The following is a 15,473-nucleotide window of genomic DNA, read 5'->3' as shown; positions in this document are numbered from 1 at the left end:
ATTCACTTTCACACTAGAGATTCTAATGAAGTAAGATAAAATAAGAAATAAAATATATAAAGGTTGGAATATGAGAAATAAAACTTCCAGAAAGCATGATTTCTATGAAGAAACGCTAAAGGAATCTACAAAAATGCTAAATCTAATATAAGAAATAAGTTATATTTCAATATACTAACAAAAAATGCTGAAAATAAAATTAAAAATAAATAGCACAGGAATATGTAAACTACTTAAGAACAAATTTAATAACATGTATAAGAACTCTAATGTACTGTATGGCATTCCTTAGAAAGTTTAAAGAATTAAGTAAAAGGAGAGGATTATCATTCTTACATGTAGAAAGAAGAAAAATTTTAAATAGCGTAATCATATCTAATTAAAAAAATAAAATGCTATATCAATTAAAATATCATCAGGGCTTTTCAGCAGAAATTGATAAACTAACATTTTATATGAAAATATGAAGAACCAGGCCAGGCATGGTGGCTCACGCCTGTAATCTCAGCACTTTGGGAGGCCGAGGCAAGCAGATCATGAGGTCAGGAGTTTGAGACCACCTTGGCCAACATGGTGAAACCCTGTCTCTATTAAAAATACAAAAATTAGCCAGGCATGGTGGTGTGTGCCTGTAATCCCAGCTACTCGGGAGGCTGAGGCAGGAGAATTGCTTGAACATGGGACGCAGAGGTTGCAGTAAGCTGAGATCACAACACTGCACGCAAGTCTATGCAACACAGTACAACTCTGTCTCACAAAAAAAAAAGAAAAAGAAAATATAAAGAACTTAAAATTGTCAAAATTTCCTTGAAAAAAAAGTGGACAATTTTAGAAGTCTTAAAGTTTTACTAAAAATTTGTTTCAAGTGGTATTTAAATAACTTACTATATGTTTTAGTGAATATGGTATTAGCATAAATATAAACAAATGGAGGAATACAGCTTAAAAGAAAGGGCAGAAATGGCCTCAAGCAAATATAATCAAATGATATTCGATGAATAATTCAAAGCAATTTAAAGGGCAAAGGAAGTCAATTCAACAGGTGGTGCTGTAATCATACTTCACACCATATATAAATTTTAGTTTAAAATAGAATGCAGATTAAATATAAAATTCAAAAAGTATGGAGTTCCTAGACAATAACATATTAAAATATTTTTGGAACTCTTATGTAAATAGACAAAGATTTCTTAACAAATTTCCAAAAATACTTGTGTGGTTTTTTTTGTTTGTTTGTTTGTTTGTTTGTTTCAGACAGTCTCACTCTGTCACCCAGGCTGGAGTGCAGTGGTGAAATCTTGTCTCACTGCAACCTCCAACTGCCGGACTCAAGCAATTCTCCCACCTTAGCCTCTTGAGTAGCTGGGACTACAGGCACAAACCACCATGCCCAGCTAAATTTTGTTTGTGTTTTCTGAGGTAGGGATGGGGTTTTGCCATATTGCCCAGGCTAGTCTTGAACCCCTGGCCTCAAGCAATCTGCCTGCCTCAGCCTCCCAAAGTCCTGGGATTATAGGTGTGAGCCACCATCCAGGCCTAAAAATATTAATCTTAAAAGAAAACTCAATTAATAATTTGGGCTTCATCAAAATTAAAAACTTCAGCTACTCAAGGAGATAAGTGATCCCATTCAAAGGAACCTATTCTAAGAATTTCTTTTCAGGGACTTCCTCCAGTAATGAATGGCTTTGTTTGGCTTATCACAGGGACAAAGATATGACCAGGTGTATAAGTTTGTTCTCACACTGCTAATAAAGACATACCCAAGAGTGGGTAATTTATAAAGCAAAGAGTTTTAATTAACTCACAGTTCCACATGGCTGAGGAGACCTCACTATGATGGCAGAAGGAGAATGAAGAGCAAGGGCACATCTTACATGGTGGCAGGCAAGCGAGCTTGTGCAGAGGAACTCCCACTTAAAAAATAATCAGATCTCATGAGACTTATTCACTACTATGAGAACAATATGGGGGATATTGCCCCCATGATTCAATTATCTCCATCTGGCCCCACCCTTGACATGTGGGGATTATTACAATTCAAGGTGAGATTTGGGTGAGGACACAGCCAAACCGTATCATTCCAGCCCTGGCCCCTCCCAAATCTCATGTCATCACAATTCAAAACACAATCATGCCCTTCCAACAGGCCCCCAAAGTTTTAACTCATTTCAGCATTAACACAAATGTCCAAGTTTAAACTCTCATCTGAGACAAGGCAATTCCCTGCCACCTATGAGTCTGTAAAATCAAAAGCAAGTTAGTTACTTCTTAGATACAATGTGGGTACAGGCATTGGGTTAATATACCCATTCCAAATGGGAGAAATTGTCAAAAACAAAGGGGCTAAAGGCCCCATGCAAGTCTGAAATCCAATAGAGCAGCCATTGCCATTAAACCTTAAAGTTCCAAAATGATCTCCTTTGACTCCATGTCCCATATCCAGGTCACAGTGATGCAAGAGTGTGTTCCCATGGTCTTGGGCAGCCCTGCCTGTGGCTTTGTAGGGTGCAGGGCCCCTCCCAGCTGCCTTCACAGCTGGTGTTTAGTGTCAGCAGCTTTTTCAGGTGCATGGTGCAAGCTGTTGGTGGATCTACCTTTCTGGGGTCCAGAGGATGATGGCCCTCTTCTCACAGCTCCACTAGGCAGTGCCCCAATGGGGACTCTATGTGGGGGCTTCAACCCAAATTTCCCTTCTACACTGTCCTAGCAGAGGTTCTCCATGAGGGCCGCACTCCCGCAACAAACTTCTGCTTAGACATCTAGGCGTTTCCATACATCACCTGAAATCCAGGCACTGTTCCCAAACCTTAATTCTTGACTTCTGTTCACCCACAGGCTCAACACTACATAGAAGCTGTGAAAGCTTGGAGCTTGCACTCTCTGAAGCCATGGCCCAAGCTGTACCTTGGCTCCTTTTAGCAACAGCTGGAGTACCTGAGAGGAAAGGCACCAAGTCCCTAGGCTGCACTCAGCATAGGACCCAGTCTAGGAGACCAATTTTTTTCTCCTGGACCTCTGGGCCTGTGTTGGAAAGGCTGCCAAGAAGATCTCTGACATGCCCTGGATACATTTTCCCCATTGTCATCATGATTAACATTTGGCTCCTTGGTAGTTATGCAAATTTCTGCAGCAGGCTTGGATTTCTCTCCAGAAAATTGTTTTTTCTTTTCTAGTGCATCATCAGGCTGCAAATTTTCCATACTTTCATGCTCTGCTTCCTCTTGAATGCTTTGACATTTAGAAATTTCTTCTGCCAGATACCCTAAATCATCTCTCTCAAGTTCAAAATTCCACAAATCTCTACCACCAGACTCTTTGTCAAAACATAGCAAGAGTCACCTTTACTTCGGTTCCCAACAAGTTCCTCACATGCATCGGAGACCATTCCAGACTGGACTTTATTGTCTATATCACTATCAGCATTTTAGTCAAAGCCATTCAACAAGTCTCTAGAAAACTCAAAACTTTCTCACATCTTCCAGTTTTCTTCTGAGCCCTCCAAACTGTTCCAACTTCTGCCTGTAACCCAGTTCCAAAGTCACTTCCACGTTTTCGGGTATCTTTACAGTGGTACCAATTTACTGTATTAATCTGTTTTTTCATGCTGCTAATAAAGACATATCTGAGACTGGGTAATTTATGAAGGAAAGCAGTTTAATTGACTCACAGTTCCACATGGCTGGGGAGGCCTCACAGTCATGGCAGAAAGCGAATGAGGAGCAAGGGCACATCTTACATGATGGCAAGCAAGAGAGCTTGTGCAGGGGAACTCCCATTTATAAAACCATCAGCTTTCATGAGACTTATTCACTACCATGAGAACATTGTAGGGGAAATCGACACCATGATTCAATTATCTTCACCTGGCCCTGCCCTTGACACATGGGGATAATTACAATTCAAGGTGAGATTTGGGTGGGGACACAGCCAAACCATATCACCAGGTAATCTATTTAGGAGGTAATACTAAGAAACACTGGAAGTAGAATATGGAGAAGATACAAGAGTGTAACAAAATCAAAATTGTTCGTGTTATGAAGAAAACTACAGCTCAATCCCACTGGGGTACACTGGGGTAGAGTTTAAAATGCTCCTTAGAGGTTTCCCAACTGTAGGACAAGAAGGTGATGCTAATTATCCTATGACACTGGCATCCACTGGCTGAAAAGTGTTCCCTAGAGTGTAGACTTCTGGCCCTTTCAGCTGCCGTTGCTTGAGTTGAACATGGCTCCAGCAAAAAAGGCTCTGAGGCAAAGAGGTGTAGGTGTTCTCAATTAGAATATCTTGGCTTCCTGGCTATGACAATTTTCATTCCCACCAACAGTGCTCAAGGCTTTGCTTTTCTTCACAGCCTCACCCACACGTGTTATCTCTCATATTTTTGATAATAGCCTTTCTGATATGATATCATGTTATGGTTTTTATTTGTGTTTCTGTGACAGTGATGTTGAACACCTTTTCACATATATGTTGACTATTTATATGTTTTCTTTGAAAAAAAAATCTCTTCAGGTCCTCTACCTATTTTTAGTAGGGTTATTTTTATTTTTTCTATTGAGTTGTGTGAATTCCTTATATATTTTTGATACTAACTCATCAGATGCATTGTTCACAAATATGTTCTCCCATCTCATAGGTTGCCTTTTTATTTTGTTATTTTCTTTGCTATGCAGAAGTTTTAATTATTATGAAAAATAATATGAAATTTCCTTAAAATTTTAAAAATAGAACTACCACGTGACCCAGCAATGCCACTTCTGGTATATATCCAAAGGAAATAAAATTAGTATTATGTTCATTGCAGCATTATTTGCAATAGTCAAGACACGGAAATAACCTAGGTAATCATCAGTGAATGCATGGATTCAAAAAATGCAATATATATATTTTATATATTAATATGCCTCTTATATTTTACATAATGGATGTTAATATTTTGTATATTTTATGTATTAACATGTCCATTAATATATTTTATATACAAATGTAAAATTGAATATTATTCAGCCATATGAAAGAAGGAAATCCTGTCATTTGTGACAACAAGAATGAACCTGGAGGACATTATGCCAAGTGAAATAAGTCAAACACAAAAAGAGACATACTGCATGATTTTGCTTATATTTGGAGCCTAAGAAAGTCAAACTCTTAGAAGCAGACATTAGAACAATGGTGGTCAGATGCTAGAGGGTAGGGGAAATGAAGATCTGTTTGTCAAAGTGTGTAAAATTTTAGTTCTAAGATAAATAAGTTCTGGAGATTTAGCGTACAGCATCAAATTATGGTGGCTCTAGTTAATAATACTTTATTCATGTCTTCTTGAAATTTTATGAGAGCAAATATTAAGTGCTCTCAATGTACACTTAAATGGTAACTATGGGTGGGAGCATATATATTAATTTGATTCTGGTAATCATTGCACAATGTTTATATATATATATATATATATATATATATATATATATATATATATATAATCACCATGTTATATACCCTGAATATATATAATTTTTATCTAGCAATTAAATATTTTAAATTTTTGAAAATAAAAAATCCTTGGCAAGTAGAAGTGAATATGAAGGGGATACAGGCTCAGCACTAACAAAAACTGACACATATATTTTATATATATATTTTTTGAAACAGCGTCTCCTTCTGTCTCCCAGGCTGAAGCACAGTGGCTCAAGGTCAGCTGACTACAACCCCACCTCCCTGGCTCAAGTGATCAGCCCACCTCAGCCTCCCCAGTAGCTGGGATCACAAGGCTGCGTCACCATGTCTACCTAATTTTTGTATTTTTTTGTAGAGGCGTGGTTTTGCCATATTGTCCAGGCTGGTCTCAAACCCCTGAGTTCAAGCGAGCCACCACCTCGGCCTCCCAAAGTGCTAGGATTACAGGTGTGAGCCACTGTGCCCAGCCTGATACATATATTCTTAAAAATATTTTCACACACACATTTCAGAACTGAAATCTGCTGTAATGTATAAAGGAACTTTTAAGATGGGGGCAGATTTCAGAATCCATGGATTTGAGGACCCATGGCCTGAGGTTAAAGAGTCAACTACAGGAGTTATTCTGCATTGTCTGCTTTGTTCCTTCCTTCTCAGATATTCTTCCTGTGCACCCTCCCTTCTCCTAGCTAACTCTTATCCATTCTTCAGAACTCACTCTAAGAAAAACATATCTTCAAAAAGGTCTTCCCTGATCTTTTCTGAGCAGGTCAGGCTCCACTGTAAAAGGCTCACTTTAGCACCTTGTACATGGCCTTCATAACATCCCTCCTAAGTGAAATTAAATTAATAATAACATAATTTATTATTTAATGTTTGTCTCACACTAAAATATAAGCTCCATAAATGTGGGCACTGTGTACATTTCCCACTGCTGTGTCTTCAATCCATAACACTATCCCCAAAATATAGTAGGCATTCAATAAATATTTGCCCAATTAATGCATTACTAGATTGACTAAAGAACTATAGAATGATTTAGGTTGCCTAAGAATTCGTTTCTTTTATAGCGTACAGAAAATAGGAAACTATTTAAGGAGATCCATTTTAGCTACATGACAGAAACTAGCTCAGGAGAAGATACTATTAAGATTTTTGAGTTTATCATTTGACAAAGAATATTCTAATAAAAAACAGGTGAATAGAGATAAAAACCTGGAGGAACATCTTTTAATATTAACATGAAAAATTATATATACATATATTCAAGGTGTATAACATGATGATTTGATATAAACATTGTGTAATTATTACCAGAATCAAATTAATATATTTGTTTTCCCACCCATAGTTACCATTTGTGTCTGGTGTTTGTCGAGAACACTTTAAGAATAACTTTTAATATATGTTAACATCTACTGATGTTAAAATGTACATATAAGGAATGTATCTGAATAAATAAATCCAAACAAGCAAATAACACCAATAAAACATAAGGAGAGGGATTTGAAAGATCCTCAGCACACATAAAATATAGCATTCAAAATTTGAAATAAGAACTTTATTCTAAAATTAATTTATTACTTTTGATTATCTTAATAGACTTAAAAAGATGTTTGAAGAAAATTTAATACCCATTCCTGGTTTTTTTTAAAAAAGATGAGAAACAAACTTGTAAAACCAAAAACCATAAAGCTTCTGAAGGATGCAAGAAAATACCTTCGTTATCTTGGTGCAGGCACAGATGTCCTGCATAAGTTACAAAAAGCACCAACCATTAAAGAGAGAAAGTGGTAAATTGGACTTACAAAATAAAAAATAATTACTTATTAAAAGACACTATTAAGAAAATGCAAGGCAAGCCACAGATTTAGAGAAAATATCTGTTAAATACATATCTGACGAAAGACTTGTGTCTAGAATATACAAAGACATTTTGCTACTCAACCTTAAAAACAACAATAATAAAATATGGGCAAAAATTTGAAAAGACAATAAAAAATAGGCATATGAATGGCCATTAAGTATAGAAACTTTTTCGTCATTAGTTTATGAGCTATCAGTCAATGCTAACAGCATTAAATGTAAGTGAGGATGTGAAACAATTGGGACTACCATATATTGTTCTCACACTGGATAACTATTTGGCAGTTTCTTTTAAAGTTAAATGTACACTTCAATTCCATTCTTAGCATTCCACTCTTACAACCCAAAATAAAAACACATGTCTACAAAAAAGACTTGTACAAGAAAGTTCATAGCAGCCTTATCTAAAATTGTAAAATGGTCAGAATTGAAAACAACTCAGATATCCATCATCAGGAGAGAGGATGTATAAATTACGGTATAGCCACATAATGAAAGATTATTCAGTAAGGAAAAAGAACAAGCTGCTGATTAATGTAAAAAAAACTCTCAAAAATATAATGAATGATGGAAGACAAACACACACACACAGGTAAGTAATATGATTCCACTTACATGAATTAAAAGGATAGGCACAACTAATCTGTGGCATCAGAAATCAGAAAGTTATTGCTCTGTAAAATATGAGAAATTGATTAGATAGTGGTGCAAGAAAACTTTCTGAATAGAGAAATATTTGTATTATTTTGAGGGATACTGGATGCATAGGTGTATACAATTTTAAAAACTTACATAATTGAATTATGAAGATATGGGTGTTTTATCGTACATAAACTATGCCTCCATTGAAAAGAAACATGTTAAGAAGCATCTTTCTCATCGTAGTTTGATGTTTAAAACTAAAAGTAAACATCATACTTAGGAAAACTTTAGGGGCATTCTCACTGTGATCAAGAGTAAGACTAGATACATGAGTACCTTCACAATTTTTGTCAATGTTCTAAATGAAGTGTCAGGCAATAAGATATGAAACAAATGTGAGAAGACAAAATAACTGTTTACTGACAATATAGTTGTTTATAAATTTTAAGATATTCAACTAAAATACTATTAGGACTACTAATAATTTTAAAAGTGGCCACACAAAAAATGTTTGCAATAAATAAGTCTTTTAAAAAATATTCTAGCAATAAATGGGATGCAATAAAAAATTTCATTCATATTTTTAACAGAAAAAAACAATTTCCAACAAAAATATGCAAAACCTATAGAATACAATTACATAACTCTATCAAGCGGCAGAACAGGATTCAAATGTATAGACGTACCTTGCTTCTCATGGAAAAACAATTTCATAAAGACATAAATTTCAAATCAATAAATTGTATATTTTAATGTAAATCACAATGTTAAAGCATTTCAGAGAAAGTAGCAAAATCATTTTAACATTCATTTGGGAAATTAAATGTGTCAATAGTCAAGGAATTTCTGAAAGCAAAATTGTATTAGCAATTTGTACTATTACATTTTAAATTGTATCAATGAATTGTAATAGTTGAAAGAGTGTGATACTAACTTTTTTGTTGTGATAGAGCAAGGCACATGGTAAATCCAGTTCGGCAGGAATTTTATTGTATGTTTTTCTACAGTTCAGTAAAACCTCATACACACATATTTATTCATATATGTGTAGACTTGAAAGAAATCATAAGAAGGCATACATTGCTTACTCAAATTTAGCACAGTGGTTCTGTGTACAAACAGCTTGAAAATTGTTCCTCCATTCTCCTCTTAAGCTCTTACAATGACAGACAGCGCACTAGAGAGTAATCGGTGAGGGCAGATATTTTATCTCTTTTGCTTCCCTTCCTATCCCAGTCCTCTGGCCAGGTACTAAGTTGCATACTGGGGGCACTCAGTTGATAAATGTTAAGTGACTAAATGATTGCATAAAGCAGTTAGATAAACAAAACAGGTAGAAATATTAAGCAACAAAATTAAATTATTTTAAGTATTTTCTGTATATTATTAGTAGTATTTTAAATAAATAGAAATAAGGGAGACAATCCAATAATTAGTGTTAGGACAACTGATTAATATTTTAGAAAACAAAGACAACTTTATTTCTCACTTCATACCGTATTTCCAAAATACATGAATTTAAATAAACCATTTACTGTACAAATGAATGAAATCATAAAAATAAACGTAGATTAATATTTATATCTCAGAGGAAAAATTATAATAAAAATCAAGGCATATTCATTAGAGTCTATTAGTTAAAATTTAAATATTAAGGAAAACAATACCTAACACAAAAATATCAGTAACAAATATCGGGAGAAAAATAAGTAGGGGATTAAAGAATTACATGTGCCAAATTTCTCATCTTATATGGTAGAAGTAAATGTTTAAAATAATAAATTAACATCTCAGGTTAGAGACTATCATAGGCATTATTAGAATAATAATAAGACAAATAATAAAAGTAAGACTGTAACAACCCTTTGAGATATTATTATTCTAATTTTATAGAAGAGAAGACTGGCCGGGCGCGGTGGCTCACGCCTGTAATCCCAGCACTTTGGGAGGCCGAGGCGGGCGGATCAGGAGGTCAGGAGATCGAGACCATCCTGGCTAACCTGGTGAAACCCCGTCTCTACTAAAAGTACAAAAAAAATTTGCCAGGCGTGGTGGCAGGCGCCTGTAGTCCCAGCTACTCGGGAGGCTGAGGCAGGAGAGTGGCGTGAACCCGGGAGGCGGAGCTTGCAGTGAGCCAAGATCGCGCCACTGCACTCCAGCCTGGGCGACAGAGCAAGACTCATCTCAAAAAAAAAAAAAAAAAAAAAAAAGGAAGAGGAGACTGAGTCATAGACAAATTAAAACACTGTGAAAGGTTAAACAGCTAGTAAGTGGCAGAGTCAGGAAGAGCAACAAAAGCTAATAAAAACAGGAAGATGAATAAAATTATAGGGATGAAGGCAGCAGTGAGAAGGTTAAAATACAATAATTTCTTCATTTTTCTGATATGCAAGTCAAAGGACACTTAATATACTTGGTAAGCTATATTAATAAATATTTGTTAATGTTTATAATAGCAAATAATATTTATAATAATAAATATTAATATATAATATATTCATTGATATAATAAATTATTACATGTTTATAGTTGCATAGTTATTAATAAATAAATGCACTATTTACTAATAATTATACTTTACTAATATTAAACTATATTAATAAATTATATATTTATAATTAATATTTTTATATTAGACGATCTTTAGAAAACCTAAAACACGTAATAAAATTATGGGAACAAAATTATGAGAACAATCATATATATTCACACAATACAAAAAATGTAAGTCCATGTTATAAAACTAGAAAACCAAATTAACAAAGCTTTAAAAACCAGAACACATGAAATAAGATGACACAATTCAGATCAATCACATATATCAAAATTTAAACCTATAACTTTATTAATATAAAAAATAGTCTCAGAATTGTTCTGTAAGAAAAACAATAAAATTACCTACACAGAAGATGTATTTAAGAAACAGATTCATGGGAACTTGGAAAACACAAGAGCAAGCAAAATTAGTTTAAGCCCTTGCAAACAAGCAACAAAAATTAAGGAGCACGATAGGAAAACTGATTGTGTTAATTTTTCAATGAAAGCAATAAGCAAATACTGTCAAGAGTACACACTGCAACTTACTTTCTTTATTGAACATGTGTCTTACTGACATTTCCGTGTCAAGAGCCACCTTCTTTTAGTCACATCAAAGAATGCTACAGAATTGGTGAGCATAGCTTATGGTGCAGATCCTGATTTCTCACTTTATTACTATGTGATCTCAATCAAATCAGTAAACTTTTTAAGACTCAGTTTCCACGTATAGGAATGGGCACATTAATAAAACCTGATGATTAATATTTATTTCCATTAGAAAAAATAATGTGTATAAAATATTGGTACAATATGTGATACAATAAAGTCTTCATAAATATGAAAATCATTATTATCACAAGTTGAATATACTCCTGTGTTAGACATTTGAGTTATTTGCAAATTTTGTTCTATTAAAAACCATGCTCAAGTTATTCATAAATTTTTTTGTACGTGTGTATATCTATAAGATGTCTTAGAAGCGTTAAAGGATATGAATTTCAAATTTCAAAATTTTGATGATACTGAATTTCCCTCAGAAAAATTTGTTTCTAGTTATATTGTACGAAAATGTTTATTTTTAACTGTTTTGCCAATCAATGCTAGTTATTAATTTTCTGCTAAATTGCGCTATTTTAATGAAAAAATAAAACTTTATTTTTACAATTGTATTTTTCTGATTGATAATGACATTGATAAACTTGAATACACTTTTATGTTTTTTCAATTACCTAATCATATTCATTACCTTTTTCTATATTAGATCAATTACCTGTTTCTTATAACTGTGTTGAAGGTCTTTATATATGTTGGATATTAACATTCAAATATAAATATACTCAGTGAACTCTGTGTTTGCTTGTTTTCCATTCTTTCTCGTTTTTAAACTTTCTAAAGGTTACTTTGTCTCAGGAAACACAATGGTTAAGCACATCCACTCTGAAGTCAAATTTCAGAGGTCCAACCTTGGCTCTGCCAATTAGCACCTGTGTGACCATGTGCAAATTACTTAACTCCCTGAGCTTTGGTTTTATCTCTTTTCTAAAATAAGTATAATAATATCAGCCACTGCATAGGTTTTTATGATGATTAAATTATTAACCATTATTATTTATTTTATTTTTATTATTCTGAAGATTTTTAAATTTATGTTATGATTAATAAGGCCTATTCCACAACAAATATAAGTAAAACTATGGATTATTATAGATTTTTATTTCCTCATTTGTATTTATGTAAGTTATCTATACAGACCCACACACTATTTCCATAACAATAATTAAAACCCAGGCACTGTTAATGTTTTTTAAAGGTATAAACTTTTTTAATGTGTGCCTATTTAAATCAGCCAGAGTCACGGGCCACAGTGTTTGCCTTTCTGTTTACAGCATACAGGTTACTATGATGTGGACGTTCAGGTAAAAGTCTGTGTGTAAGTTCTGAGAACTGAAGCATTGGGTAAATTATCTACAGGGTACTTTATATTGTAACAGGTGGCCCGTATAACTTTGCCTGCAATGTAAAATCTGGACTGCTTTTATTTCCTCAGGCACAAAACTAGACTCTAAGAAGCAAGATGTTGAATTTAGAAATGAATGCTGTATTAGTCAGATTTCCCCAGAGAAACAGATCTAACTGGATGTGTGTGGACATGTGTGTGTGTGTGTCTATCTATTAATATATAGAGAGAGGGATTTCGTACAAAGAATTGGCTTACGAGATTATGAAGGCTGAGAATTTGTGTGTCAGAAAATGCTTTGGTGGTAATCTCTGCCATTTGCCTTTCAAATGCAGGACTCAGAAAAGATGTCCCTGGACTTACATTAATAATGAAACTTGTTCCCCTGTAAAAAGGATTGTTTAATTTTTGACAGTTCTAAATACGAGACTACCCAGTTGGAAATTCAGCCATATTTATTTCTATGATTTCCACCTACCTTTCCACTCCGTGCAGATGAGAGAATATAAGCATAGAGTCCTTATTTGAGAATGCTGTCCTTCAAATATCTCTTCACATGGCCATACTAAATGTCTCTTTTGTAATTCTCATGACTATAAAACACATTTTCAGAAGTTCTGGGCCGGGCGCGGTGGCTCACGCCTGTAATCCCAGCACTTTGGGAGGCCAAGGCGGGCGGATCACGAGGTCAGGAGATCGAGACCATCCCGGCTAAAACGGTGAAACCCCGTCTCTACTAAAAATACAAAAAATTAGCCGGGCGTAGTGGCGGGCGCCTGTAGTCCCAGCTACTTGGGAGGCTGAGGCAGGAGAATGGCGTGAACCCGGGAGGCGGAGCTTGCAGTGAGCCGAGATCCCGCCACTGCACTCCAGCCTGGGCGACAGAGCGAGACTCCGTCTCAAAAAAAAAAAAAAAAAAAAAAAAAAAAAAAAAAGAAGTTCTGCTATCCTAGTCACCCTTTTATGGAGATGTCAGACTTTGTCAATATTTCCCTTAAGCCAGACAGAAATATCCTAATGTGATGGTACCCACAGCAAAGTATAGTGTAATGAATGCTTGCCTTGGTCTGGACATTAAATTTGTAAGATTGCTGCCCTGAGTAAATTAACTCTGACAAGATGCATGTATATTTCTGCCTCATATTGGATTTGAAATCAGTTATACTTCCCAGGTCCAGCATTAAAACACAATTTAAGTAAATTCATGCATTTCTCTTATATACCTATATAATTAACTTTTAAGATCAACTTTAAAGGAATAAATTTTACAATACATCTCTGACTTTTTATTACCACTTATCAAACTAATTTGACTGATTTGCTATGTTTCTAATATAGCGTTTCCTATATGCCAGCAAATGAGTAAAATAACTTTAAGCATTTCATTTATTATGTTTAAGATAACTGCCTCCATTTTACTTGTTAGGAAATTTGACAACAACTACTCAAAGCATAAATAGCAAGGCTAGGAATTTTCAGGCCAATCTTCCTTCCACAATACTACACAGCCTCAGAGTGTGGCTGAGTACCAACTCTTCCCCTCAGCACTATTCTTGTTAACATTTTGAAAAGTATGCTTTTCAAATCTTATCCAAGTTATTTATAAGCAAATTAAGCATGGCATTGCCAAGGACAGATCTCCGGGGCATGCCACTGAGAAATTCTGTTTTTGTTGGCAATGACCTGTTCATTAGTCAATACCCTCTGAGATGGGTAATTCTACCAGGCACAAACTGACCTAATTTTGCAACAGCCCCATCTAGATATCATCACCATATTTACAAGAATATAGTGACTTTGTCAAAAAGCTTGCTGAAATCAAGGAATCGCGGTTAGCTTGATGTCACTTTATGTATCTTTAACAACCTGAGACAAATACATGTAGACAAATACAAATGTGCATTTATGTATATGTACATATGCACACACACCTATGTATGTGCTGTTAATGGAACCATATAATTCTAGCAGACATTATCATAAAACTGTCTATACATGTCTCCTTCAGGCTCTTACTGTGTAGTCTGCTTTTGTGTGTCTCTTCTCATTCCTTCTGCATTGAAGTCACACATGAAAAGTGGTGCATTTACTTCTACTAAGAATCACTTTTCTCTGTGGTCTTAGTCACACTAATACCACCTTATGTGGCGTTAGTGGTGTTGGTGGTATGTATGTGGTGTTGTTAACCAAGCATCAATCACATCTGTGATGAATTCTCACATAAATAGTATACAATCATACCTCCACAGAATCTCCAATCTCTTAAATTAGCCAGGCCACTCAATAATGAAGAGAATAATGTCTTGCTTATTTGGTTCCCACTACTTCCGCACACCAACTTTGAGAAATATTCTTCTGTGTCCTCCTACTTTCTATGTATTTTCCTCAATGTTTATGTCTGTGGATGATTTATTATCTATGTCTTCAAATCCATTTTGTTTCTTTCTCCAGTTTTTAGCATAGCCCTCCTTTTAGCTATTTGCTTTCTAGAATCAATGTTGCCCATAAAATATTAGTCATGGAATTATTAAACAAGAATGCCTTATCTTTTACTGCAGGGGAAGAGATTAGCTTATAGTATTAGAAAAATACATATATTAGAGGCCTGTCAATCGACCTTTCATTCTAATCACTTTTGAGTAGCCAAATGCACACATGGGTACACTGCCAGCACCTCACCTCTGCTGAATCCTGTACCTGCTGCTTCCTGTCTTGGGCTTCATAAGAGGCCATTTCATGAGATACTTCTGCGAACTCCCATGGCAGTCACATTTATGCAGCCTGGAAAAATGATAGTTACAAATGAGCCTGGACTTGTGGGTTATGAGAGCTACCGGATAAACACGGCTCCCTATATTTCTTAGGCAGACAATTCTAAGACCCATTCTGAGTCAGAAAACCCCAACAAGATGAAGTCCCAGTTACTAACAGAGGTATCAACTTGATTGTGCACCCTTTTAATTGCTTTTCCCTTCTCTGTTTCACTCTCCATAGTCCCTTACTCCGTTCCCTGGG

General features: G+C 35.0%; 1 long non-coding RNA gene across 1 annotated transcript; it reads right to left on the bottom strand.

Annotated features, from left to right (window-relative positions):
- Positions 1-1,808: 1,808 nt before the first annotated feature.
- On the bottom strand, positions 1,809-15,239 carry LOC105379139 (uncharacterized). Its single transcript, XR_948696.3, has 3 exons — positions 15,138-15,239; positions 7,936-7,994; positions 1,809-1,916 (listed from the first exon to the last, which is right to left on the bottom strand). It is a non-coding gene; the product is annotated as an uncharacterized LOC105379139 (long non-coding RNA).
- Positions 15,240-15,473: the final 234 nt, after the last annotated feature.

The sequence above is a fragment of the Homo sapiens genome, chromosome 5 (assembly GCF_000001405.40).
Source record: "Homo sapiens chromosome 5, GRCh38.p14 Primary Assembly".
Lineage (NCBI taxonomy): Eukaryota > Metazoa > Chordata > Mammalia > Primates > Hominidae > Homo > Homo sapiens.
Note: the sequence above shows the minus strand (reverse complement) of the source record. Positions and strands in the feature narration are given on the sequence as shown.